Genomic DNA, 24821 nt, shown 5'->3' with positions numbered 1-24821 from the left:
GAATGAGGATTAAGACATGGGGCCAGGCGCTGTGGCTCATGCCTGTAATCCCAGCACTTTGGGAGGCCAAGGTAGGAGGATTACTGGAGCCCAGGAGTTTGAGATCAGCCTGGGTAACACAGTGAGACCCCCACCTCTATTAAAAATAAAAATAAAATCACCAGGCATGGTGGTTCACATCTGTAATCCCAGCACTTTGGGAGGCCAAGGCAAATGGATCACCTGAGGTCAGGAGTTCAAGACCAGCCTGACCAACATGACAAAACTCCATCTCTACGAAAAATACAAAAATTAGCTGGGCTAATTTTTGGGGATAAATAAAAAATACAAAAATCGGGGTCCGCACCTGTAGTCCCAGATACTTGGGAGACTAAGGCAGAAGAATTACTTGAACCTGGGAGGCAGAGGTTGCAGTGAGCTGAGATTGCGCCACTGCACTCCAGCCTGGATGACAGAGTGAGACTCCGTCTCAAAAAAAAAAAAAATCTGAGTCTGAAATCAAGTTTCACCACTAACAAGTTATGTGCTTTGGACAAGGCTTTTAACCTGAGCTTCCGGTGCTTTGGTAGCTTATACTCTGAGAACAGGAGCACCCGCTCTCCTCCCTTCATAGGGTTATCATATTGAATGAAATCATTAAAGTGATTCTTTGACCACTTTCAGAATCATCAAGACCCGCCCAGGGTCACATCCATTCATAATAAAATGGAAATGGCAACACCTGAACAACCCTCCGGCAGTTTGTCAGATCACATCCCCCTTCCTATGAAAACCTTTCTCCAGTTTTTCCAGGCCTTACTAATCTCTCCATGTTCTGAACTCCTTTGATGCGCTAAGTCAGTGCCACCCAGTCAGGTGCTAAATCAGTCTCTTGTTACTCCTGCCTGTGAGCATCGTCTTCTCAATGAGACTGTAAGCTCCTTATGGGCAGAATCTGGCTGGCATTCATTTCATATGTCCTGAGACAGTGCCTTGACCTATAGATGCTTAATAAATGGTGACTGGATAACTGATCAGCAACCAGTTCTTCCAGAAGATGCAGTGAATTACCTTCGATGATCCCCCATGGAGTTTTTCGGCCGAGGACCCTCTTGCCATTCACTTGGTACTCCTTGTCACTTCCCACCACAGCAAAAGGCATGCTCTCCTGCTGCACGGGGCAGAAACACAAACCAGACACATGTGCACCGTCATCCTCCAACAACCTGGACTTTCAGGAGCAGGATGGCATATGGTCCTCTAGCCTTGAACCACACACTTCTGATGCTCATTCAGAGATACTACTGATGGCAAGGGCAAGGCTCAGTCTCTTGAAAAGAGCACCCGACTGAGATTGAAGAGTCCTGGGTCTAGTCCCAATTGTACCACTGCCTCACTGGTTAACCTCAGGAATCAGCTCTCCTTCAGCTGCAGAGCGCTTTGTACTTTCTTTTTTGAGACAGAGTTCGCTCTTGTTGCCCAGGCTGGAGTGCAATGGCACAATTTCAACTCACTGCAACCTCCACCTCCTGGCTTCAAGCAATTCTCCTGCCTCAGCCTCCCGAGTAGCTGGGATTACAGGCATGCGCCACCATGCCTGGCTAATTTTTGCAGGTTTTGTAGAGATAAGTTTTTGCCATGTTGCCCAGGCTGGTCGTGAACTCCTGGGCTCAAGCGATTCTCCCACCTAGGCCTCCCAAAGTGCTGGGATACAGGCATGAGTCACCACGCCCAGCCAATTTAATTTTTTTAAGTTATTCTAGCGGGGGAAGCCTATAAGCCACTCAGTCTAACCCCTGCATTTCATAGAGGGGAAACTAAGGCAGGGTCTGACCACAGCATAGATCCTCCTGGACCCCAGCCTGATGCTCTTCCTGCCTGCTGCCCCTCCCATCACCCCAAATACTGTTTTTGCCAGACCTTGTTGGGGAAAAGGAGGCTTTTATGTGGTCTGGGGATAGAAGGCTTTCTGGGTACAGGGAGCCCTTCTGTGGGTTCACAGTCCAGGGCCATAGTCCTCCCCATCCCCCTATGTCACTTCTGGTCTGGGTCAGGCAAGGTTGGGGGGAGTACAGAAAGGGAAAAGACAGACAGAGGACGTGCACAATACACATCCCAGAGGTCGCAAGGGGGCATCAGTGGAGGAGCAGTGCCCCAGGCACCCACCCTGATTTTGTCATTCTCCGTCTTATCCTCCAAATCCTCATCAAATTCCTTCTGGGGGTAGAATTCAATGCCATTTACTTCAAGCTCCTTGCGAACCTAGAGGCGAGGAGAAGAAACAAGGTAGTCAAGTGTCAGGGTAATGGAAAAGAGGGGTGTGTGCACCTGTGTGCGTGAGCTGAGGTCAGAGAGCCAAATCCAGCCTTGGATAATCCACAGTCATCTCTGAACTCTGAGACCCTGAGCAGCAGGAAGATGGTGAATAAATGCAAGCCCCAGCTATACAATTACAACCTAGCCTGAGAGGAGGAAGAGGCCAGGAGGTGCAACTTCAGGTCCCAGGCGCCTCGCAACCAGCTTGCTCATCTCAGGGTCCGCGAGACTGGGATTTACACAAGCAGCACAGGTGAGCCCACTGGGGAGTGCTCAGACCCCTGCATGTTATATTCCTGATTGGAAGGAAGAAAGGTGAGGCTCCCCCTACTCCGAGACTGTTTGCCCTCTTTCAAGGTCGACTTAAGTCTTGCCTTCTCCAGGAAACCATCCAGGACCTCTTCATTTTCTATTTGATTATAAGTTTTGTTTGTTTGTTGTTTGTTTGTTTGTTTGAGACCGAGTCTTGCTCTGTTGCCCAGGCTGGAGTACCGTGGTGCGATCTTGGCTCACTACAACCTCCACCTCCCGGGTTCCAGTGATTCTCCTGCCTCAGCCTCCCTAGTAGCTGGGCTTACAGGCATATGCCACCACGCCCAGCTAATTTTTGTATTTTTAGTAGAAATGGGGTTTCACCATGTTGGCCAGGCTGGTCTCGAACTCCTGACCTTAGGTGATCCACCCGCCTTGGCCTCCCAAAGTGCTGGGATTACAGGCGTGAGCCACCGCCCCCAGCCAATTGTAAGTTTCTTTTTTTTTTTTTTTTTTTTTTTGAGATAGAGTGTCACTTTGTCGCCCAGGCTGGAGTACAGTAGCACGATCTCAGCTCACTGCAAGCGCCGCCTCTCGGGTTCATGCCATTCTCCTGCCTCAGCCTCCTGAGTAGCTGGGACTACAGGCACCCGCCACCACACCCGGCTAATTTTTTTGTATTTTTAGTAGAGACGGGGTTTCACCGTGTTAGCCAGGATGGTCTTGATCTCCTGACTTCGTGATTCACCCGCCTCTGCCTCCCAAAGTGCTGGGATTACAGGCATGAGCCACCACGCCCAACTGGATTGTAAATTTCTTAAAGGCAGCAATTGTCTTTTCATTTCTCTCAAATCGCCCCTCCCCAACCCTGTACATCCAGCACAGGGCTGAGCTTATAGAACATGCCAGTGAGGGCTGGGCACGGTGGCTCACGCCTGTAATCCCAGCACTTTGGGAGGCCGAGGCGGGCAGATCACGAGGTCAGGAGATCAAGACTAGCCGAGACCATCCTGGCTAACACAGTGAAACCCCATCTCTACTAAAAAGAGAAAAACAAAATTAGCCAGGCGTGGTGGTGGGTGCCTGTAGTCCTAGCTACTCAGGAGGCTGAGGCAGGAGAATGGCGTGAACCCGTAAGGCGGAGCTTGCAGTGAGCCGAGATCACGCCACTGCACTCCAGCCTGGGCGACAGAGAGAGACTCCAAAAAAAAAACAAAGAGAAGATGCCAGTGAGGACTAGTGGCCAGTTGACTCACTAATTAGTCTAGCCCTTCAATTAGGCTAACGTTGGAGGAGTGATTTCTTATGTACACAGTGATACATGTATTCAGTGGTCTTCACAGGTAGGTTTGGAGGGTGGGAAGAAGGCAGCCCAGAGCTGTGCCATCTTTTCTTCATCATAGTCCCCAGATACCACCAACCTCAGCCTCTTGAATGGTTAAGAAGGGGGCTGGGGTGGAGAATTGGGGGAGGGTTGAGGGTGGGGGTGAAGGCAGAATGATGAGGGCTAGGAGATGGCCTGAACCCAGCGGAGAGAAAGGAGGGGATGGGAACAGGAAAAGAAGACAGGGGGCCTTCTCACCCTTTGCTTGAATTCAGACTTCTCCTCCAGGGTCATGGTGTCAGCCTTAGCAATGACAGGGATGATGTTCACAACCTTGCTGAGGTGTTTCATGAACTCAAGATCCAGAGGTCGCAAGCTGGGGCACAGAAAAGGCAGAATCATCAGAGCCACCTTGCCCTCCCCAACTCAGCCACCACCACCACTCCAGGACACCCACAGGAGAAGAGGACTGGGCTGGGCATCTGGCTGAGGCCAAGAGGCTGCTACCTCTCGTCTCCGACACAGCCCCACTGCCTTGCCGTCTGTAGAGCAGCCTCAACACCTGCCTTTTTCTTTTTCAGTCCCCTTGCAGATTCTGCCTCTCTTTAAGCCCCCCTCAAACCACCACTTCAGGACATCTTTTCTGACTCAGGGATTTCTTTCTCCTGGGAGCATCTGTGGACTACTGTCTCTACTCATATGTCCTTGTGCGTGTGTGTCTTTTTTCCTTTTTTGTCTGTCTCAAAAACAAAAAACAAACAACAACAACCAAAAAAAAACAACACTGTGTGTGTCTTTTTTTTTTTTTTTTTTTTTGAGACAGGGTCTCACTTTGTCACCCAGGCTGGAGTGCAGTGATATGGTCATTGGCTCACTGCAGCCTTGACCTCCAGGGCTCAAGCAATCCTCCCACCTCAGCCTCCAGAGGAGCTGGGACCACAGTTGCGCACTACCATGTCTGGCTAATTTTTAAATTTTGTGTAGAGACAATGTCTTGCCATGTTGCCCACGCTGGTCTTGAACTCCTGGACTCAAGCAATCTTCCTGCCTCGGCTTCCCAAAGTGCTGGGATTATAGGCGAGAGCCACCGTGCCTAGTGTGTACATCTTGTTCTGCCTATCAGACTACTTCTTGACAGGTCTCCTCCTAGCCCCCAGAGTTAGTCCTGCAGGGCCAAACTGGAGGCCTTGCCCTTCCCACAATCTGACAGTCTATGCCCCCATCCTACCTCAGGCTCTGAGACCCCAACTTGGCTCTATTTTGCAATCTCAGGGACTCACTAAGTCAGTCTGTCTGATGGTTCATTCTGACCAGGGGGTCGAAGCCTAGGGAGGGATAAAACCAGCCTTCTGTTGAGTTCCTGGGTCTAGCCCAGGGGTCTTGTTTCATCTCTCTTCTCCCCCTACCATCACTGCCTGGTTCCTAGAAAATTTGGGGCTTACCTTGCTTGTGCCATCCTCTGAAGAGCTTAACTCTGGCCCAGCAGCTGGGCTTAGTAATGTTATGGGACCCCCCTCCCCCGGTCTCTGCAGGAAGGTTTCTGGCCTGCCCCCTAGGATCTCCATCCTCTGCCTGTTCCCAGCACTTCCTTCATGGGGCCCACCTGTCACTCACAATCAGAGTTCCCAACATGCTTGTGTGTGTCTTATTCTGCCTATCAGATAGTACTTCATGACAATGGTTGGCCTTCATCTCTGAACACACAATGCCTCACTCCAGGCTGGTACCTTCTAAATGCCTACAACTGGGTCCCTACCCTCCAAACACCAGCCCCAATCCAGGAGCCCTGCACTGCCCTATTTCACCCTTCTTGCTGCTCCCTCCGACTCCAATTATTTTCCAAAGCAGGTATTTGGTGAATAAATGAAGTGCCCTCTGCTCACATTCACCAAGTCCTCTTTGCTGATACAGTTGTGCCATGCTGCTGGGACACCAGTGGGCAGATATTGGTGGCTGATGTTGGACAGCTTTAACCTCCTAGCAAGAAAGTCAAACTTCCTCGTGGAAAGTCTAGGGAATCCCAAGGTCATGGGCCATGACTATGTACCAACCCATCTGGCTGGAAGGGCTAGGACTCAGCTAGGGAGGCCTAGCTGAGTCAACGTATGGATCATCCAATCCAGATGGGCACAGATGATACAAACCAGACCAGGCCTGACAATAGGGGTAGGGTTGGTACATACGAGTGTCCTGTGGGAGAGATGAAGTAAAGGCAGCAGTGGACACGAGTGTCAGGGATGCGTTTCTTCCTGGCGATGTTGACCTCCTCCTTCAGGAACTTCTCGTACTGCTCATTGATGTACTTCTCAATGGGCTCCCAGCTGATGGGGAGGGAAAGTAGATAGATGCATCAGAAGAACAAGACCTAGGGCTCAGCTTAGGCATGATCTGGTAGCAATCTCCTTACATTCATGTCATTCCCTGGTTGGTGGGCCTAGGATACCTGCTGCCAGATTCCCCCTCAGCCCCCGCACCGATGGCTTTCCTGGATGGTTAGTTAGCAGGGGTGGAGCTCCCCAGGGGCCCTGGCCTGGGCTGTCGGGAACTACAGAGCATGGAGGGTGCAGATGGTTCTCAACGTGAATGAATCTGCACCATAGTAAGTATCTTCCCAGCAGAGTCTTTAGGGCAAAGATCTCAGAGGCAGACAGATACCAGTTTTCATTGTTGATTTGGTCTCCAAAGCCTGGGGTGTCGATGACGGTCAGCTTCATTTTGACACCGCCTTCCTCTATCACTGGGGGTGAAAAGAAAATGTACCAGAGAGGTCAGTCCTACAGCTGACCCCAGGTACCTGGCAGCCTACTAGCCAGGGAGACCCAGGCCTTGTCTTCAGGATCAGTTATTGGAAAAGTCAAATTTAGGGTCTTTTCCATCTCGATATCATGGCTTATGCTGTTCCCTGTACCTGGAATCTGGAATACCCTCTCTACTCATTTCTTTTTCTTCTTCTTTTATTTTTTTTAAGAGACAGGGTCTCACTCTGTCACCCAGGCTAGAGTGCAGTGGTGCAATCACAGCTCACTGTAGCCTCGAACTCCCCAGCTCAAGTGATGCTGTCGCCTCAGCCTCCCCAATAGCTAGGACTACAGATATGCACCATCATACCCAGCTAATTTTTTTTTTAAGAGACAGGGTTTCGGGCCGGGCGTGGTTGCTCACGCCTGTTATCCCAGCAGTTTGGGAGGCCAAGGCAGGCGGATCACGAGCTCAGGAGATCAAGACCATCCTGGCTAACACAGTGAAACCCCATCTCTACTAAAAATACAAAAAAAATTAGCCGGGCGTGGTGGCGGGTGCCTGTAGTCCCAGCTACTCAGGAGGCTGAGGCAGGAGAATGGCGTGAACCCGGGAGGTGGAGCTTGCAGTGAGCCGAGATCGCACCACTGCACTCCAGCCTGGGCGACAAAGCAAGACTCCGTCTCAAAAAAACAAACAACAAACAAACAAAAAAAGAGACAGGGTTTCACTGTGTTGACCAAGATGGTCTCGAACTCCATGACTCAAGCGATCCTCCCACTTTGGCCTCCCGAAGTGCTGGGATTACAGGCATGAGCCACCGTACCTGCCCACTCCTTACCTCTTTCTACCTGTCTAAATCCTGTACTTTATCATCCACCTCAAATCTCACCTCCTTCCATTCGAGCTCCCTGCTCTCTCTTCCCTGAACCTGCAGTCTAAGGAGTTTGCTTCAGAGTGAAGTGCTCACGTCTGTTTTGTCTTAAGGTTGCCTTTTATTGATCTTATTCTTCAATAAGCCCCATTCTTTCCCCTTTCCAGCAGAGGCACTCACTGAACAAAGCCCATAGGGGTCCCTGCCTGGTCCTCACCATGCCCGATAGCTTTGATCTCCACTGTCTTGGGGATCTTCTCCTCCCGGTTCCAGCTGGAGGCCTTGCGGCTCACTTGGGATTTGAAGAGCGTGTTGACCAGCGTTGATTTGCCCAGTCCACTCTGGCCTACAGCAAAGCAGGAGGAGGAGGTAGGGAGACTCTGCATCCACCTCCTGAGCCTAATATTTCTCCATAAGCTTACAGAATTCTAGAGCCATGATCCAGGCCACACCTTGTCTGACCACTCACTGGGGGATGGCCAGGCTGAGTGGGGATTGCAGGCAGGTGGGAATGGCTTCCTGCTTACTGCAGAGGGCCTTGGGGAAACATCACTTGGATTCCATATTCTCTCCTTCCCAGAGCCACAGGACCACTGGGAAAAGGGACAACCTCTGCATATGTCTAGTGTCGTGGTTTTCTGTTTTCTCGTGATTCCATTTTTTGCTTAGGTTTTCACTTTTTAATGATACTAAAAGGAAAAATAGAATGACTTTGCATCCTGATACTGCCTCACAGTGCATATTGTACATTCACATTTGTTAGCCAAATTCATTTTTATATCAGCCCTGTGGATCCTGAAGCAGAACTATCTTTATCCTCAGTTGAGATGGTCCTAGAGAGATGAATCCTCTTCTAACAAAATATGTGCAGAGCAACATAACTAATACATGCAAGACCAGGAACTCAAACCCTAATAACATCTTGGCTCTATATCCACTCTTTCTTCTAGTGTAGTGGTTTTTAGATTGTGCTCCCAGAAGCCTTAGTGTCCTGTGAAGATACATGCCAGAGAGGGCACTGTGAGAGGAGGAGGAGGCTGGGCAGGCAGGGCCCCTGCATCCACTTCCTTCGCTATGGCTCCCTTTCACCTGTTTTCCAGATGCATATCTGCAGAAGATTTCATTTCAAGGAAAAGTTTCACAGCTAAAGAACATTTGAAAACCACTGGTCAGGCCGTTTGCCGTGGCTCACACCTGTAATCCCAGCACTTTGGGAGGCCGAGACAGGCGGATCATGAGGTCAGGAGGAGATCGAGTCCATCCTGGCTAACACGGTGAAACACCGTCTCTTCTAAAAAAAATACAAAAAATTAGCCCGGCGTGGTGGCAGGCGCCTGTAGTCCCAGCTACTCAGGAGGCTGAGGCAGGAGAATGGCATGAACCTGGGAGGCAGAGCTTGCAGTGAGCTGAGATCGCGCCACTGCGCTCCAGCCTGGGCGACAGAGCGAGACTCCGTCTCAAAAAAAAAAAAAAAAAAAAAAAAAGGGAAAACCACTGGTCAGGCCAGGTGCAGTGGCTCATGCCTGTAATCCCAGCACTTTGGAAGGCCAAGGCGGGCAGATCACTTGAGGCCAGGAGTTCGAGACCAGCCTGGCCAACATGGTGAAACCCTGTCTCCACTAAAAATACAAAAATTAGCCGGGCATGGTGGCACATGCCTGTAGTCCTAGCTACTCAGGAGGCTGCGGATCGTTTGAACCCAGGAGGCAGAGGCTGTAGTGAGCCGGGATCACGCAACTGTACTCCAGCCTGGGCAACACAGCGAGACTCTGTCTCAAAAGAAACAAACCCACTGGTCTGAGCAGAGCTTCTCAAACTTCAACACGTACAAGAATCCCACAAGAAAGACTTGCAATTGACAAGCAGCCTCGGCATTGCCCGGACACTAGTAGGAAATGCAGAATCTCAGGCCCCACCCCAGACCTATGATTCTGAATCTGCATTTTAACTGGGCTTCCAGAAGAGTCCTATGGACAATAAGATCTAAGAAATACTGGGCTGGTGAATTCTTGTGATTATATTAGAAAAAGAACCATGCTGGGGGACAAGGGCCTAGAGTTCCAGACCCACCTGCATTGTTTTCCCTGAATGCCTTTGGATTAGTCATGCCTTGGTTTCTTTACTGATAGGATGGTGAGGAGAGAGGAAATTGGACAAGACCAGGGATGGTAAATAAGGTGCATTTCTCATTCCTGCTGATTATCTGGTAGTAGTCACCTAGACCATTATGTTAAAAAGGCTACATCTGGGCTCAGCACTGAACACGTGCCATGACTGACTAGCAGTCTGCCATGCACACCACTGGGGAGAGAAGTGGCTCACGGGTGTTGGATTTGCCATGCTTGCTCTGAGATGTTTTCTAAGAGCATTCATTCATTAATTATTCTTAGGTGCCAAGTGTTGTCCTAAAATTTGGAGGTACTATCGTGAACAAAACATGATCCTTACCCTCAAGGAGCTGCTTAGTGTGAGAGTGACCAAAACATAAGCAGACAATTATAGTATGTTGCAATAACCACTGTGAAAGAGAATAGCCACAGGGTATTGAAACAGCATTGCCAAGGGAATCCAACCCAGTCTCTCTGGGACTAAGGAAGACTTCTGGAGAAATGCAACTAAGCTGAAACCGGAAGGTTGATTTCAAAAGAGTCATGAGTTCTAGCCAGAGGGAACAGCAGATGCAAAAGCTCTAGGGTAGGAGAGAGCATGGCATGTGGACGAGCACTGCCTCTTCTGAGTGAGGAGTACAATGCTAGATGGGAAGTGGTCAGAGATGAGCTGAAGAGGTACAATCAGGACAGTCTACGAGTTTAAACTTACCCTGAGGTTAAAGGAGAGTTTGTTACAGAGTTTTAAGTAAGTTGGGTGACTCGATAAGTTTTGCAAGGTGGGAAGATTATTTGGTCACTGGTGGACAAGGGATTGGAGAGGAAAGGAGACAGAGAGCTAGGAGGGTTGGTGCCACTCCGAGTGTGGCCCATAGGGGCCCAGCTACCAGGGTCCCTGACCCATTTGCTACTGGTTCTTGAGATAAGAAGTCTGCCTCAGGAGAGAAATCTACCTTGTCACTGAGCACACTGTTTAGCTCAGTGGAGGTTTTTTATAGCAAGATTTTCCAGATGATTTATACTCTGGCCCAAGCCCCAGCTGAGCTTATCTTGCTGCAGGTCAGCACTTTGACAGCACAGAGTCAGGTGGCCACGGCAAGCCAGGTGAGAGAAAGTCAGTATAGGGTGGCAGCAAGAGAGAGGAGAGAAGTGGGCAGACGTAAGAGATACGTATGAGGTAAAATGGACAGGACTGGATGACTGATTGGGGGATGAAGGAGGAAGAGGACAGAAGGATGACGCCAGATTCCTTTTTCAGCACTGACTGGACATCTCACTGAGACGGGGCAAAGGTCCCTTCCTACTCTTTTTTTTTTCTTCTTTTTTTTTTGAGATGGAGTTTCACTCTTGTTGCCCAGGCTGGGGTCCAATGGTGCAGTCTCAGCTCACTGCAACCTCCACCTCCCAGGTTCAAGTGATTCTCCTGCCTCAGCCTCCAGAGTAGCTGGGATTACAAGCATGTGCCATCATGCCCAGCTAATTTTTTTGTATTTTTAATAGAGACAGGGTTTCACCATGTTGGTCAGGCTAGTCTCAAACTCCTGTCCTCAGGTGATCCACCCACCTCGGCCTCCCAAAGTGCTGGGATTACAGGCGTGAGCCACCATGCCCAGCCCCTTCCTACTCTTACATTCTGTGACGCAGTGATGCTACTCAGTGACCAAATCCCTGGAAATTCTCTCAAAATCTTTTTTGTTTTTTGTTTTTTGTTTTGAGGCGGAGTTTCACTCTTGTTGCCCAGGCTGGAGTGCAATGGCGTGATCTCAGCTCACTGCAACCTCCACCTCCCGGGTTCGAGCGATTCTCCTGCTTCAGCCTCCCGAGTAGCTGCGATTACAGGCATGCGCCATCACACCTGGCTGATTTTGTATTTTTAGCAGAGATGGGGTTTCTCCATGTTGGTCAGGCTGGTCTCAAACTCCCGACCTCAGGTGATCTGCCCACCTCAGCCTCCCAAAGTGCTGGGATTACAGGTGTGAGCCACCACACCCGGCCTTCTCTCAAAGTTTTAAAGCACTACAAAAGAGTAGAAATAAGACCACCCTTCATCCAATCCTTCCACCAGCTCTCAGAGGTAAGGAAGAACATTGCTGATTCTCTCATGTCACAAACCCAAAAGCAGGATCAGAGTGGTGAAGGGGCTGCCTGTGTACACCGAGCTGGTGATGGGGGGCTGGGCTGGCATCCACCTGAAGCTCCTACCCCTGGGTCAGCTAGTCTTAAGGGGAGACAGGGGTCAGGCCTTTGTGATCAGCATGGTGAAATTCTCCCTTCTACAAACAGCTCATCTTAGAAGAGCCAGGGTCACAGCCATTTGGGGGAAAGAAATGGGATCCTTGGTGCTGCCCGCCACCAGGCCTGCAGCAGCCCCACAGCCTTCCGTACCAACGACCATGATGTTGAAGTCGAAACCGGTCTTCATGGTCTTCTTGCGCATCTGCTCGATGATGGTGTCGATGCCGATGTAGCCCAGCAGGTTGGAGTTGATGCTCATGGGCTTCATGGGCACCGCTGGCTTAGGCCTGGGCTCAGGCACCAGCTCTGACATGGCTGCGTCCGTCCTGGTCTCTGGGAGCCCTGCAGAGCCAAGGTGGGAGGGGTCGGAGGGGTGATCAGGAGGACGGCAGAGGTCACATGGAAACCATGGTATTTTTCTCTTGCTACAGAATCATACAAAGTTGGGCCTGGAAGGGATCTTAGTATCATCCAGTCCAGGTCCCTCATTTCATAGACAAAGAGACTGAGGCCTGGAGGAGAAAGAACTCAACTAAGAACACAGAGCAGGTCAGAGGTAAAATCTGGGCCAGTGCCAGGTTCTCTGGTTGCTGGGCACTTTCAAATGCACCTCACTGCTCTGAAGCCCACATCTGTGCATCTAACCCAGGGGCTGCTCCATCTTGGCACTAATGACATTTGAGTAATTATTGTGGGAGGCTGTCACATGCATTACAGGATGATTAGTGGCACCCCTGATCTTAGTAGCCCCCCAGGCTGTGACAACCCAAAATGTCTCTAGATGGTACCAAATGTCCCCTGGGAAGCACCATTGCCCTGGCTGAGAACCACTGGTCTAAGAAATGTCTGGGGTTGTTCAGACCTGAGTCATGCCTCCCTCCCCGAATAAAGGGCAAAGACTTTTTAGGATCCTGCACTAACATCTATTAACTGTCACTGACCTCGGCTGCTTCATCTTTTAGAAGCAAACAGGGCTACCCTTCTCTGGAGAGTGGCTATCACTCTCGTCTCCCAGCCTCGATGTCCCCTCTGTACCATGAGCACCACTGCAGAGTAGGGGTGTCTGTACCTGAAGGAGCCCAGACACCCTCCCAGCCATTGTTCTGAATCTGTGGAACCAGTGGGGAGGGGATGAGAACCAGATGAGGGCAGTCACTTGCCTAAGACGACACAGTGTGCTCTTGGAGTGGTGGATAGCAGATGAAAGAGAAGGCTGAGGAACCAGCCCCTCCCTAGTGAGGAAGGGCAAACGTCCCCCTGGGTTTAGTGGATCATGGGTGTGTTCATACACAGGAGAAATCTGTGGGTTTCCTTATCAGGCCACTGTCCACCAGGGCAGGTTCCAGAATAGAGCACCTCCATTTCCCCATCCATACAATTGGGGTATGGGGTGAAGTGGAAAGAGCCTGGCTCTGCTACTTCTCAGCTTTGTGGACTTGGGAAGACCACCTCCCCACTATGAGCCTGCATCCCTCTCTATAAAATGGAAAGATCATCACTAAGACTGTGGTGAGCTTTCATGAGACATGATGCTTAGAAGCACTGAGCAATGGCCGGGCGCGGTGGCTCACGCCTGTAATCCCAGCACTTTGGGAGGCCAAGGCAGGCGGATCATGAGGTCAGGAGTTCGAGACCAGCCTGATCAACATAGTGAAACCCTGTCTCTATTAAAAATACAAAAATTAGCCAGGCATGGTGGCAGGCGCCTGTAATCCTAGCTACTCAGGAGGCTGAGGCAGGAGAATTGCTTGAAATCGGAAGGCGGAGTTGCAGTGAGCCGAGATCGTGCCACTGCACTCTAGCCTGAGCAAAAGAGTCAAACTCTGTCTCCAAAAAAAAAAAAAAAAAAAAAAAAAAGGCACTGAGCAATATCTTACAGTCCCAGACCCTTTTGCCCCAGCCCCTTTCAGGTCTGTAGGGGAAATGAAACAGTACATGTGAAAGCATTGGTTAAAGGAAGGTGTCCCCAGATGCCAGTTACACAAGCATGGTTGTTGGACTCCATGTGCTCTTGAGGACACCTTCCAGCTCTGCCGTTCTAGAATCCTATGTTTCATGACTAACACCCTGCAGAGTCTCAACCTTACAGGGAGGCCTGATGGAGCAGCAGATGGGCGGGAGGGAGAGGGGACAGAAGTATTCCCTTCCCACCCCTAAACCCAGCCAGGAGCCTACTCTCATCTCCCTCCACCTGGTCCTTCCACCGGTACTGGTAAGACCCTCTCTCCCAATGGGAAACTGTTCTTTCTTCTGTCACTCCCAGGCACAGCCAAATCTGCCAAAGCCTCAGGACCTCCCCAGGGCCTGGCATGGCTCTCTCTTGCTTCCCAGGAAGCTGTTCCCAGCCAGGCAGCTCCGCATGGCAGCAAGATTGGCCCAGCCCTGCAGCAGCTGACTCTCAGCAGCCTGGCCCTGCTCCTCCACTCTTGCACGTGGCTCACAGGCCCCACTCAGCACACCTGCACTGGGACCAATGCCCCATTTTTCCTGCCCAGCTGCTCACACAAGCTGGGCCTTTCCATTGCCCCTTATGCCTCTGCAGCTGAGCCCATTTGGTCTCAACCTGTGTTATAAGATAGAGCCACATGGTTTGGGGGGGTGGTCTTATCCCCATTTTACAGACTTGGAAAGTATGCCTTGTATTTACTTATGAGAGGTTGTGTAAAGATTCCTATAAAGTGTGTGCTCTCACCATGGCCTGCTCCGCCCTGGCCTGTCAACTGCAGCATCCTAAAAGAGCACGCCCAAAAGATAGACCCTGATGGAGAGAGGGTCCTACCAGATCCCCAAGCAGCATCTAGGGGCTACCACAGGCCCACTACAGGACCAGGACCTGGTAGATCTCACTTTCATTCCTCCAACAAGCACATATGAGCACCCACTGTGTGCACTGTACACAGCGCCTGCTGGCAAGTCAGCCTCCCCACCACATGCCAGTGACATGCCAGTCACATGCTAACAAGCCACCCACCAGCCCCAAGTACAGTAAATGTGTGCAGGTCACTGTGCCACAAGCTTTGCTGGAAGATCCTGTTCCCCCTCCAACCCCTGGCTCCCTCCTCCTCCTCCTCCTCCTCCTCCTCCTCCTCCTCCAGCATTCAGCCCCACTGCTACTCCCAGGAAAGCCTCTGCTTTGCCTTCTGATGTGGATGGCCCTCTTCTGTGCCCACTGCACATTTTCTGGTACTCATCACATTCACTCATTCATTCATTCCATCCCATCTAGGCCATTTCATATGCTGTCAAATGGGGGTCTACACCAGCCAAGCCCTAGGCGAAATTCCAAGGACACTTATGTACCCCAGACAAGGTTGTTGCCCTTGAGGGCCCCCTGTCTGGTAAGGGTGCCTGACAAATAAACAAAGACCTCTGGGGCACAGAACCAATGCTGCTCTGGAGCTGGATTCTGTAGTTCCATCCTCTGTCCCTACAACTCCCCTGGTCCCACCATGTCAACGTCAGATGGGCAGGTGACCCAGGCTTGAATCCTGGCTGGGTGACCCTTATGAGCCTCATTTTCTGCTCAGACAACTGGGGATAGAACCTACCTTGCTGGGTTTCTATGAAGGTTATACAGAATGAAGAATGTAAATTATCTGGCACAAATACGTACTAGTTCTCACCCTTCTTTAGGGCGGGGCCGTGTCTTATTGATCTCTGTGCCCCAGTCTACCCAGCATACCACAGGCACTCCTCAATAAGTGAATGAATGAATGATGAGTGAATGAGAACTTCAGAGTGAGGCAGGTATCAGACACATCACCTTTCTCTTCCCTCAGATGCTTCTCCCCATGCAGAGCAGCTGACCCCCCAGTGAGCAATGGCTGTTGTCTCCGCCACAGTCAAGGGAGTAGAATTGTTGAGACCTCCTCCTTCCTCTGCAACAAGGATTGGAGGGGGGCTCCCCAAGGGTGGGGAAGAGCTCGGGTCACAGCAGGGTGCAGCTCAAGTCTGCCATCCTGGCTAGATGGTCCTTGGGGCCCCCCTCAGCTCCTGGCTCTCCTAGGGCCCCTGGAGAAGGGGGATCTGCCTGCAGCACCCTCTGCCAGAAGCTACCTGCCCCATCAGTGCTCCAGGGAGAGGCACCATCCACCTGACTCGGTTGCAGCCAAGAAACAGCCCCTCCATTCCCATGCTAAGCAAAGACCCTGGCACTTCCTTTTACAGGCAAATGAATGGCTTTGGCTTTGTCTGGCCCAGGGACCCCACCCCTGTGTTAGGAAGGTAGCAGCTGGGGGAGGGTACTTTTCCAAAATAGCACCTGCTTAGTGCAGGCCCCCCCTCTTCCTTCCACCCTGAAGATGGATCTTCCTCAGCCCCCCGCAGCCTTCAGGACCCCACCGCCCCCCACAAAGGCAATTCCAGCCCACCCCAGTTCCAGCCCTAGGCTCTGGGAAAAGGAATCACGAAAGCTCTCTCGGTCCTTTCCCATTCGCAGGAGCAGAGGGCCCTGGGACACCCGTTCCCCCATCCCAGTCCTCTGGAGGCCAACGGGTTCCCTTGGAGACCACCAGCTGGTGCCTGTCTCAGCGTGTGCCTGTAGGGGTTGCGGGGGAGGGGACGTATGTATCAGTGCACAGGTCTCTCATCCGGCTGGCATGGCCCTGGCACCTGTGCGTGGTGTGTGTGTGTGTGCGTGTCTTGGTGTACTCCAGCATGGGGCTTTCTGTGCGCATCTGGGTCCCTGCTTGCGTGTCCGTGGGTCCCTGCGTCTCCCCGCGTCCTATGTCTGCCTCTCTCCAAGATTGTCTCTCTCGAGGTGGGTGCCACCGTGTGTGCGTGTGTCCGCGCATCTGTCACCGCGCGTGGGCTCCTCGGCGCGGAAACCCTCCCCCAGGAGCGCCTCCAGCCGCGCTGGCCGGGGCCGCAGCCTCCTCCTGGCGGGTGCCGGTGGCCTGGCCGGCCGCCCTACCTTTGGACATGAATCCTCCTTTGTCTCCGTTCCTCCAGGGAGATGCTCCGGGCGCGGGGCTGCAAGGCTGAGCGGGGCGCGGGCTTCCCCGGGCCGAGCGGCCCCTGCAAACGGGCCTCGCCCCTTCGCGCTCTCCTCCCACCCGCCCGGCCCGCGGCCCCGCCGCGCCGCCCCTGCGCCCCGCGCCGCCGCGCCCTCCCCGGGACCTCGCCTCGGCTCGCTCGGCGCCGCGCCGCCCCTGTCCGCGCGCACCGTTGCCGCCGCCGCCAGCCGCCGCCGCTGCCACCCGCACCACGTGACCGCGCGCCCGTCGGCCCCGCCGAGGGCCCCTCCCCTTCCCGCGGCGCCCGCGCCCGCAAGCGGGAACTGGTCCCGGGTCCACGCTGCGGGCGGTCCAGGAGCCGCCCCCGCGGGCTCCAGGTGCCAGGCCCGGAAAGGTGCCTGCATCCCAGTCCCGTCTCTCCCCGCTGGACCTGCTCCCCGCCCCTTACCCACTGGGCTGCGGCGGGGACGGGCGGAGGGGCGCAGGGGACCAGTGGCAGCTGCGGGCGGCCGTGAGCGCGCGTGAGTCACGCGGGGGCTGGGGTGTTGCGCGGGTGCCTGTAGAGCCGAGTCAGGGGCCCGGGTTCCAGGCCCTGCTCCAGAATGATGAACCAATAACCTTGAGCCAGACAGGAACTTCTCTGAGCCTCAGTTTGCCCATTAGAAAAAAATTTCACGCATTCAGTGGATACTAATGGACAGCATATTGCCTCACAGGGGTGAGGACAACCATCCCTCCCCTCGAAGGTTCTGGGTCTAGTGGAGGAGACAGGAAGATGGAATGTCCTAATGCAGGGGCCGGGGTGCACACAGGGAACTGAGGGTGCAGGCAGGTGGGCACCCTGGGGAGAGGGGGCTTGGAAGACTTCTTGGAGGAGATGAGGGCCAGATGGAAAGGCAAATGGGAGTGGAAGGGAAGAATGGAAAGGGAGAGGTATTCTGCAAAGAGAGGACAGCAGAGGTGAGGGTCTCCAGAGGTGAGAGCTGCGTGGTGCTGGTGGACAGCCCAGAGTCCTTGGTGTCGCTGAAGCAGAGAAAATTCCAGACAGGTGTGTAGAGCTAAATAAGAGGCTGGAGAAGTCCGCACGCAGCCTTGGAAGCTGGATTTTAATGGAAGGTAATGGTGAGTCACTGACGAATATTAAGCCGAAAGTGCTGCCATTCAATGTGGGAGTCGTTGCAGCAGTTGTGTGTGGACAGGGAACAAGCTGGTGGGTGGGAGGTGGCCTCACAGGGGCAGAAGGATGGAGAGGAGGGGACAGCCAGCCAGATAGTTGAGTACTGAGGAGGTAAACCAACAAGGTGGGAAGTAGACTGGATGAGATGGCAAGAGAGAGATGAGGAAGAAGAGGATACCCGGGTTTCTAGGCACCTAATAAAAGGTAGGCAATGCCTACAGCTGAGAGAGTGAGATCAGGGAGGCAGGAGTCAGTTCAAGAAGAAAAGGGCTACCTCTGGACATGCCCGGGAGACATCCGGGTAGATAAGCCTAGCAGGCTGCTGGCTGCCCACATCTGCACTTCAGGAGACAGGGCTGGGCTGCAGATGGAGGGAGAGCTGAGATCTCGTAGGGAGAAGTGAAGACCAGAATTTAGGTGAGGTGCCCAGACTGAGTGTGTGGGGTGGAGGGAAAGGGGTCTGACAATCTAACGACTCAATTAAGGCATTAGACTGGATGCCTTCTAGGCACCTTTCCAGACCCAAAAACTCTGAGCCCTTGAAATGTTGGGAATGAGGCTGCCCAAAGTAGAGATTTTAACAATCTGGATTCCAATCAGCTTACTGCCACCAGCCAGCTTTGGTGTGACTTTAGGCATGTCACAGGCTTTCTAAGACCAAATGAATGTCCAGCCCTTGTGTTGCCCTATTTTAGAGTTCTGTGTAGGACTTCCATATATACAAGGCTCCAACTTACCTTTCAGGATTAAAGGGCTGGGGGTGGGGGACCAAGAAAGAGACATTCAGGTAAGACAACTTTTAAGCAACAGATACCTTCCTAAAAGGCTGAGCGTAAATGGATTTGGAAAGTCTCGAGTGAGGTCATTATCTCACATCCAGAGGAGGCTGCAGAGACTACCTATTAGACAAATCACAACTTCCTAAAGCGCTAGTCAGTATTTTCACGTAGGAGGTAGGAGGCTTGCTTTTTTTTTTTTTTTTTTTTTTTTTTTTCTTTTTGAGACAGAGTCTCGCTCTGTCGCTCAGGCTGGAGTGCAGTGACGCAATCTCAGCTCACTGCAACCTCCGCCTCCCGGGTTCAAGCAATTCTCTGTCTCAGCCTACACACCTGGCTAATTTTTTGTATTTTTTAGTAGAGACGGGGTTTCATCATGTTGGCCAGGCTAGTTTTTTTTCTTTTTTTTTTTTTTTGAGACGGAGTCTCACTCTGTCACCCAGGCTGGATTGCAGTGGCGCAATCTCGGCTCACTGCAAGCTCTGCCTCCTGGGTTCACGCCATTCTCCTGCCTCAGCCTCCCAAGTAGCTGGGACTACAGGCACCCACCACCACACCCGGCTAATGTTTGTATTTTTAGTAGAGACGGGGTTTCACCTTGTTAGCCAGGATGGTCTTGATCTCCTGACCTCGTGATCCACCTGTCTCGGCCTCCCAAAGTTCTGGGATTATAGGTGTGAGCCACCACGCCTGGCCTGGCCAGGCTAGTCTTGAACAACTCACCTCGTGATCCACCCGCCTTAGCCTCCCAGAGTGCTGGGATTACAGGTGTGAGCCACTGCTTTTAAAGGTGGACACACCTATTGATCACCTGATTATTCCAGGTCTTCAGGAAACAAACAATCCCGGGAGATGCTGAAAGGAGGACTCACCATAATTGCTCCTCCACAAGTTACCCCTGTTAACCTTTCTTTTTCTTTTCTTTTTTTTTTTTTTTGAGACAGGGTCTTGCTCTGTCGCACAATCATGGTTCACTGCAGCCTCGACCTCCTGGGCTCAAGCAATTCTCCCACCTCAGCCTCCCCAGTAGCTGGGACCACAGATGCATGCCACCATGCCCTGCTAATTTTTTATTTTATTTTATCTTATTTTATTTTTTGAGACAGAGTCTTACTCTGTCACCAGGCTGGAGTGCAGTGGCACGATCTTGGCTCACTGCAGCCTCTGCCTCCCAGGTTCAAGTGCTTCTCGTGCCTCAGCCTCCCAAGTAGCTGGGACTACAGGCATGTGCCACCACACCTGGCTAACTTTTGTATTTTTAGTAGAGACGGGGTATCACCATGTTGGCCAGGCTAGTCTTGAACTCCTGACCGCAAGTGATCCACCCGCCTTGGCCTCCCAAAATGTTGGGATTACAGGTGTGCGCCACTGTGCCCAACCCTTATTTTTTATTTTTTTATTTTTTTGAGACGGAGTCTCGCTCTGTCGCCCAGGCTGGAGTGCAGTGGCATGATCTCGGCTCATTGCAAGCTCCACCTCCCGGGTTCACGCCATTCTCCTGCCTCAGCCTCCCAAGTAGCTGGAACTACAGGCACCCGCCACCACGTCCGGCTAATTTTTTTTTTTTTTTTTTTTGTACTTTTAGTAGAGACGGGGTTTCACCGTGTTAGCCAGGATGGTCTCGATCTCCTGACCTTGTGATCTGCCCGCCTTGGGCAGATCCCAAAGTGCTGGGATTACAGGCGTGAGCCACCGTGCCCAGCCCCTTATTTTTTATTTTTTGTAGAGACAGTCTCACCATTTTTCTCAGGCTGGTCTTGAACTCCTGCACTCAAGCAATCCTCCCATCTCAGCCTCCCAGAGTGCTGGGATTACAGGTATGAGCCACCACACCTGGCCAAAACCTTCTTTCTGATAGTTTCCCTCAGCCTGACCTCAGACTGGCAGGTTAGAACCCAGCTCAGGGTACAGTCCCTATGTCTGGCCCTACAACCCCCATTTCCTTTTCTCCCAACCCATTCAACCCTGACCTTAGAGTCCTTCCTCCGTTTCTCAACCCATGCAAGCATGATCCATCTCCAAGCTCACACACCTCCCCCTCCCGGCAGCCTAGTCCATCCCCAACCAAGTTTCTGCATTTACCTTTGTATTCTGTGGCCAGGTCCAGTGAGGCAGGCTCTGTGGCTCTGTCCATGGCAGCATTAGTGTTGTCCAGGGCTAGGTCTGTGGATCTGCTTGGCATTAGCAGGCATGTAGCAACGTCTGATATGGTTAGGTTATTAACACTGCCCAGTGTGGTCTTCCCAGTGGCTGGGTCTGGGGTTACTGGCACAACTGAACCCACAGCTGTGCCCATCCTGCTTGTGTCCAAAGCAAGAGAATTCTTAGCCGTGCCCAGCTTGGCTCTGTTCACTCTGGCCAAAGCCATGGCTGTTTCCAACCTACTGGTGCCCACTGTAGCTGTGATTGTGTCCGGCTTGACTGGGTCTGATGTTGCTGAATCCATGGCTATACCCTCTGTGGTCATATCTGGTTTGGCTGTGCTTCTTGTAGCCATGGCTTTGCCCAGCTTGTCTGGTTCTGAGGCTATCAAATCCATGACCATCCCTGGCTTGGTTGTCCCAACTGTAGTCAGATTCATGGCTGTGCCCGGCTTGATTGTGCCTGCTGTAGCCAAGTTCACGGTTTTGCCTGACTTGACTGTCCCTACCGAAGACAAGTCTCTGGCTGTGCCCAGCTTGATATCCAGGGCAGGGAACTCTGTGCCTGTGTCCAGTTGGGATGTGTTTGGTGTGGCTAAATTGATAGCCAAGCTAGGTCTGTTGGTGGCCATTGTGGCTAAATGTCTGGCTGCGTCTGTCCTTGTGTCCATAGCAGTCAAATTCACAGTCGTGTTGGCCCTTTGGAGACGCCCCCGGGGTCTGGGGATCCCCCTGGCCCGGGGCTTGCCTTTTCCTGGAGAAGCTCTGGTAGGCATGTGGTCAGTCACTGAGACAAGGTGCCCCTGGCCCAACGAGCCTGGCTCTGCAAGGACTGGTGCACTCTGGGCTAACCGGGATTGGAAAGGTAAGGCTAGGTAGGAACTCACCAGGGGCTTCTCCGTGGCAAGCATCCTGTTGGATTTGGTCAGACCTGGGTTCCCTGGGCCCTCAGAGTGGACCCTGCCCCCTGGCACTAGGGTCACAGGTGGCGAGCCTGGCGAGGACACCCTCCCTCCTTCATGGGGAGCAGCCTTCTTTCCTGGGGTAGGCAACTCTTCCCAGTGAGAAAGTGGGCGATCCAGGGACCGTGCCTGGCTGTTCTGATGGAGAGTCAAGGAGATGGAGCTGAGCTTCCTGGGTACAAGGCTGCTGGTGGGCAGGGGGCTCAAGGAAGCCCCCAGAGCGATGCCCGTCTCCTGTGGGGGCACACTCCGGGTCCTGGCTCCAAGGCCCAGCCGGCTGGAGGTCTGTGGGATATGGCTTTGGGGGAAGGTATCCAGATGGATGGTCTTCCTGAGGACGGGGGTGAGGGGGGACCCTCCTCCAGGGAGTCTCGAGGGGCGGATAGGGCGCCCCAGCACATGGCTATGGGAGAAGGAGGTTCCCGGGCCTGGAGCTCCATGCGACTGCATCTCTGGAGGAGCAGGAGCAAAGTTGTGGTCCATCCAGGTCGTTTGTCTTTCCCTGAGGCAATCAACAGAGAGAAGAGGCCAGGCAGGGGTGAGGAGCTCAGGCCTGGAGGTCTCAGCTCTCCCCTTCCTGACCAGCAGCTGAGCATGCCGGGTCTGAAGGGGCCTGGTTCTGGGGACTGTCCAGTCCTTAGTGGAGGATGCATGTAACTTCCTCCTGTCCTCCTACGGCTCCTACCTGCTGCAGACTGATCTGTACCTCATACCTACCCCACCCCGGCCAGCCACCACACAGTGGGGTGGGCACGTCCAGTGAGCAGTCTGCCTCCAGCATGGGGCATCTCAGGCTGGGCTTACGTCTCCCTTTGCCTGGGCCTGAGTGTGGCCCCTGTCTCTGTGGACAGCTCTATGGAGGTCACATACATGTTCAGGGACTCCAGAGGAGGGCAGTGCTTACTGGAGACGTCTCTCCCTTTCTCTTCCAGAAAGAACCAAAGGGCTGTGGGTTCCCACCCACAGCAGCCAACATAGGAGCTCAGGTGTCCAGGTGGCAGGATGAGAGAGGACCAATTTGGCTTAGAGCCCCAGAACCAAGAAAGAGCCCTGAGCTGGCCTAGTGCTGGAGTCAGAAACAGAGCCAGCCCTGGAGAAGGTGAGGATGGGAAATGGAGAGGCAGTGAGTGTTCACAGAAGGAGCTTATCTGGTGAACAAGCCATGGTCCCCGCCCTTGAAGAGGCTGCCATGCCCAGGGATGCCAGGCAAGGAAGTAGGCAGGGCTCCACCAAGCTAAGCATTAGGGGTAGAAAGGCGGGAGGCTAGACCTGAGCTGGGGCTGTTCCTACAGAAGGCCCAAAGGTGAGAAAGTGTGGCATCTTTCTGAAAATCCAACATGGGGCTCCTAGGCTGTATGTAGCAGGGAGGGGAGAGCCAAGGCTGCAGGTGAGCTGGGGTCCAGGCCAGGCTACAGCAAAGTTTAGGCCAGGGAATGTGACCCATTCCGATCTGTAGGTGGGAACGGCCACTCGGGCAGTGTGACAGAGGGATCAGATGGGAACAGAATTGAAGCCAGGATCCCATGAGGACATAGTTGAAACTCTCTGCTCCGTGGGCTGTGCAAGGGGCAGAGCTAGGGCTGGGGCTGGAGGAGGCTGCATTGCACAGGGGTAGAAGTGGCGGGACTGCCCAGGGTAGGGAGTGGGCACAAAGAGGTGTCGAGGATGAAGCTCAGGACTCTGGCTGTGGTCTTAGTAGATGGGCCACTCCCTGCTACTCTGGACTCCAAGTAACTCACCCTCTAGAAAAAAGTTGGTTTGGTTGCTTTTAACACAGCAGGCTGGGACCTGCAGCTGGGGGACAAGGCCAGGGCTGGTGGGAGGAGTCAGTTCCAGAGGGCTCATGGGGAGGGGAGTGATCATGTAGCCAGGTCCTTGAGGTCTGCAGCAGGGACGGGGAAGGCAGGGCACCGGACAGGGAAGGCATCACCCCTCACAATGGTGCCCCCAGCCCCTCATCCCTCTCCAGCCATATATTTGTATCCAAGACTGTCCTGGCCTCCAACCCTTTCCCACCTGGCCTATCACTGCAGCCCTGAACTTCTGCCCCCTCCTGCACAGCCACATCCACTTGGGCACACACGTTTACCCTGCACTTAGCCACAAACAGCTCCCCTCAGTGTGCACACCCACACACAGAGCAGGCCAGAGGACAGGGTGTCCGAGGGCATCACCCGACTCCCCATCCCCTCACTGCACTCCCATCTTCCATGGATTGCTTGGTCCTTCCCCACCCCACCCCCACCACCCTCCCACCCCCACAAACCCCCACACCCTTCCACCCCCCTACACACCTACCTTGATCAGAGGACAAGAAGGATCCAGTGTGTCTGGGAAGATAAGGCACACGCAGGCCCCTCACCTCCCCTGCACTCAGAGTCTGGCCATGGTGGCCAGCTTAGGGGCCTTGTCCCTCTGGTCCCCTCCTCAGCTCCTGCTCAGCCTCCAGGCCACAGTCCCCAGGCACAGGGCCCAGCCCTCTGCTCACTGTCCCACCAGCTACATCCCCGGAGACCGTGCTGGGCTGGGCTCTGGTGCAGGGAGGGGCTGGCTTCCTAGGAGTGGGCGGCTGTGAATGGCTGCTCTGAGCCTCTGGAATCCTGAAGAGCCATGGGAGGCTGGTAACGGCCAGGCTGGCACTCACGGCCACCTGCAGGGAGGTTCCCTGCAGCCTGCCCTCCCCAAATCTGCTCTGTCTCCCACAGACTTTGATGCCTGGGGAGTCTGCAGTAAAAACAGGGGTACTCCAAATATGGCTGCACTCTGGTAGTCCCAGCGCGAGTCTCCCTCTGGCTCTGCCTCTGTGCCCTTCATGCCCTGTTCAGCTCTGCAACCCTCAGACCATCTTGCCCACTCACCTGGTCTTTCCTCAAGGGGGCTGGAGTTCCTGGAGGCTAGAGCTCCTTCCACAACTATTCCCTGAGCCCCAGCTTGCTCCAGCTGGACCCTGTACCCAGACCCTAAGGGTGTGAAGAGGACCCCG

At 53.2% G+C, this 24821-nt stretch overlaps 1 protein-coding gene across 15 annotated transcripts in view, besides 1 other annotated feature; it reads right to left on the bottom strand.

Annotated features, from left to right (window-relative positions):
- Positions 1-24371, bottom strand: part of SEPTIN3 (septin 3) — a 28779-nt gene extending 4408 nt beyond the window's left edge. For 2 of the 15 annotated variants that reach the window (NM_001389668.1, NM_001363845.2), the window contains exons 1-9: positions 24137-24371; positions 20818-22340; positions 11978-12169; positions 7702-7830; positions 6527-6608; positions 6055-6192; positions 4130-4247; positions 2146-2241; positions 1051-1150 (exon numbers count right to left, since the gene is read on the bottom strand). In NM_001389668.1, the coding sequence (NP_001376597.1) occupies positions 1051-1150; positions 2146-2241; positions 4130-4247; positions 6055-6192; positions 6527-6608; positions 7702-7830; positions 11978-12169; positions 20818-22321 (2359 nt within the window). In that variant the 5' untranslated portion in view covers positions 22322-22340; positions 24137-24371. Of the gene's footprint in view, positions 1-1050; positions 1151-2145; positions 2242-4129; positions 4248-6054; positions 6193-6526; positions 6609-7701; positions 7831-11977; positions 12170-16739; positions 17037-17230; positions 17306-20817; positions 22341-24136 lie in introns of those variants that run through there. The other 13 variants (NM_001389671.1, NM_001389670.1, NM_001389675.1 and 10 more) reach the window with 8 other exon arrangements.
- Positions 16946-17015: a silencer, noted in NCBI's record as "silent region_13816". NCBI's record gives its function as "represses an Ori minimal core promoter by ATAC-STARR-seq in GM12878 lymphoblastoid cells {active_cell/tissue: GM12878}" and the evidence as "EXISTENCE:reporter gene assay evidence [ECO:0000049][PMID:35858748]".
- Positions 24372-24821: the final 450 nt, after the last annotated feature.

The sequence above is a fragment of the Homo sapiens genome, chromosome 22 (assembly GCF_000001405.40).
Source record: "Homo sapiens chromosome 22, GRCh38.p14 Primary Assembly".
NCBI lineage: Eukaryota > Metazoa > Chordata > Mammalia > Primates > Hominidae > Homo > Homo sapiens.
Note: the sequence above shows the minus strand (reverse complement) of the source record. Positions and strands in the feature narration are given on the sequence as shown.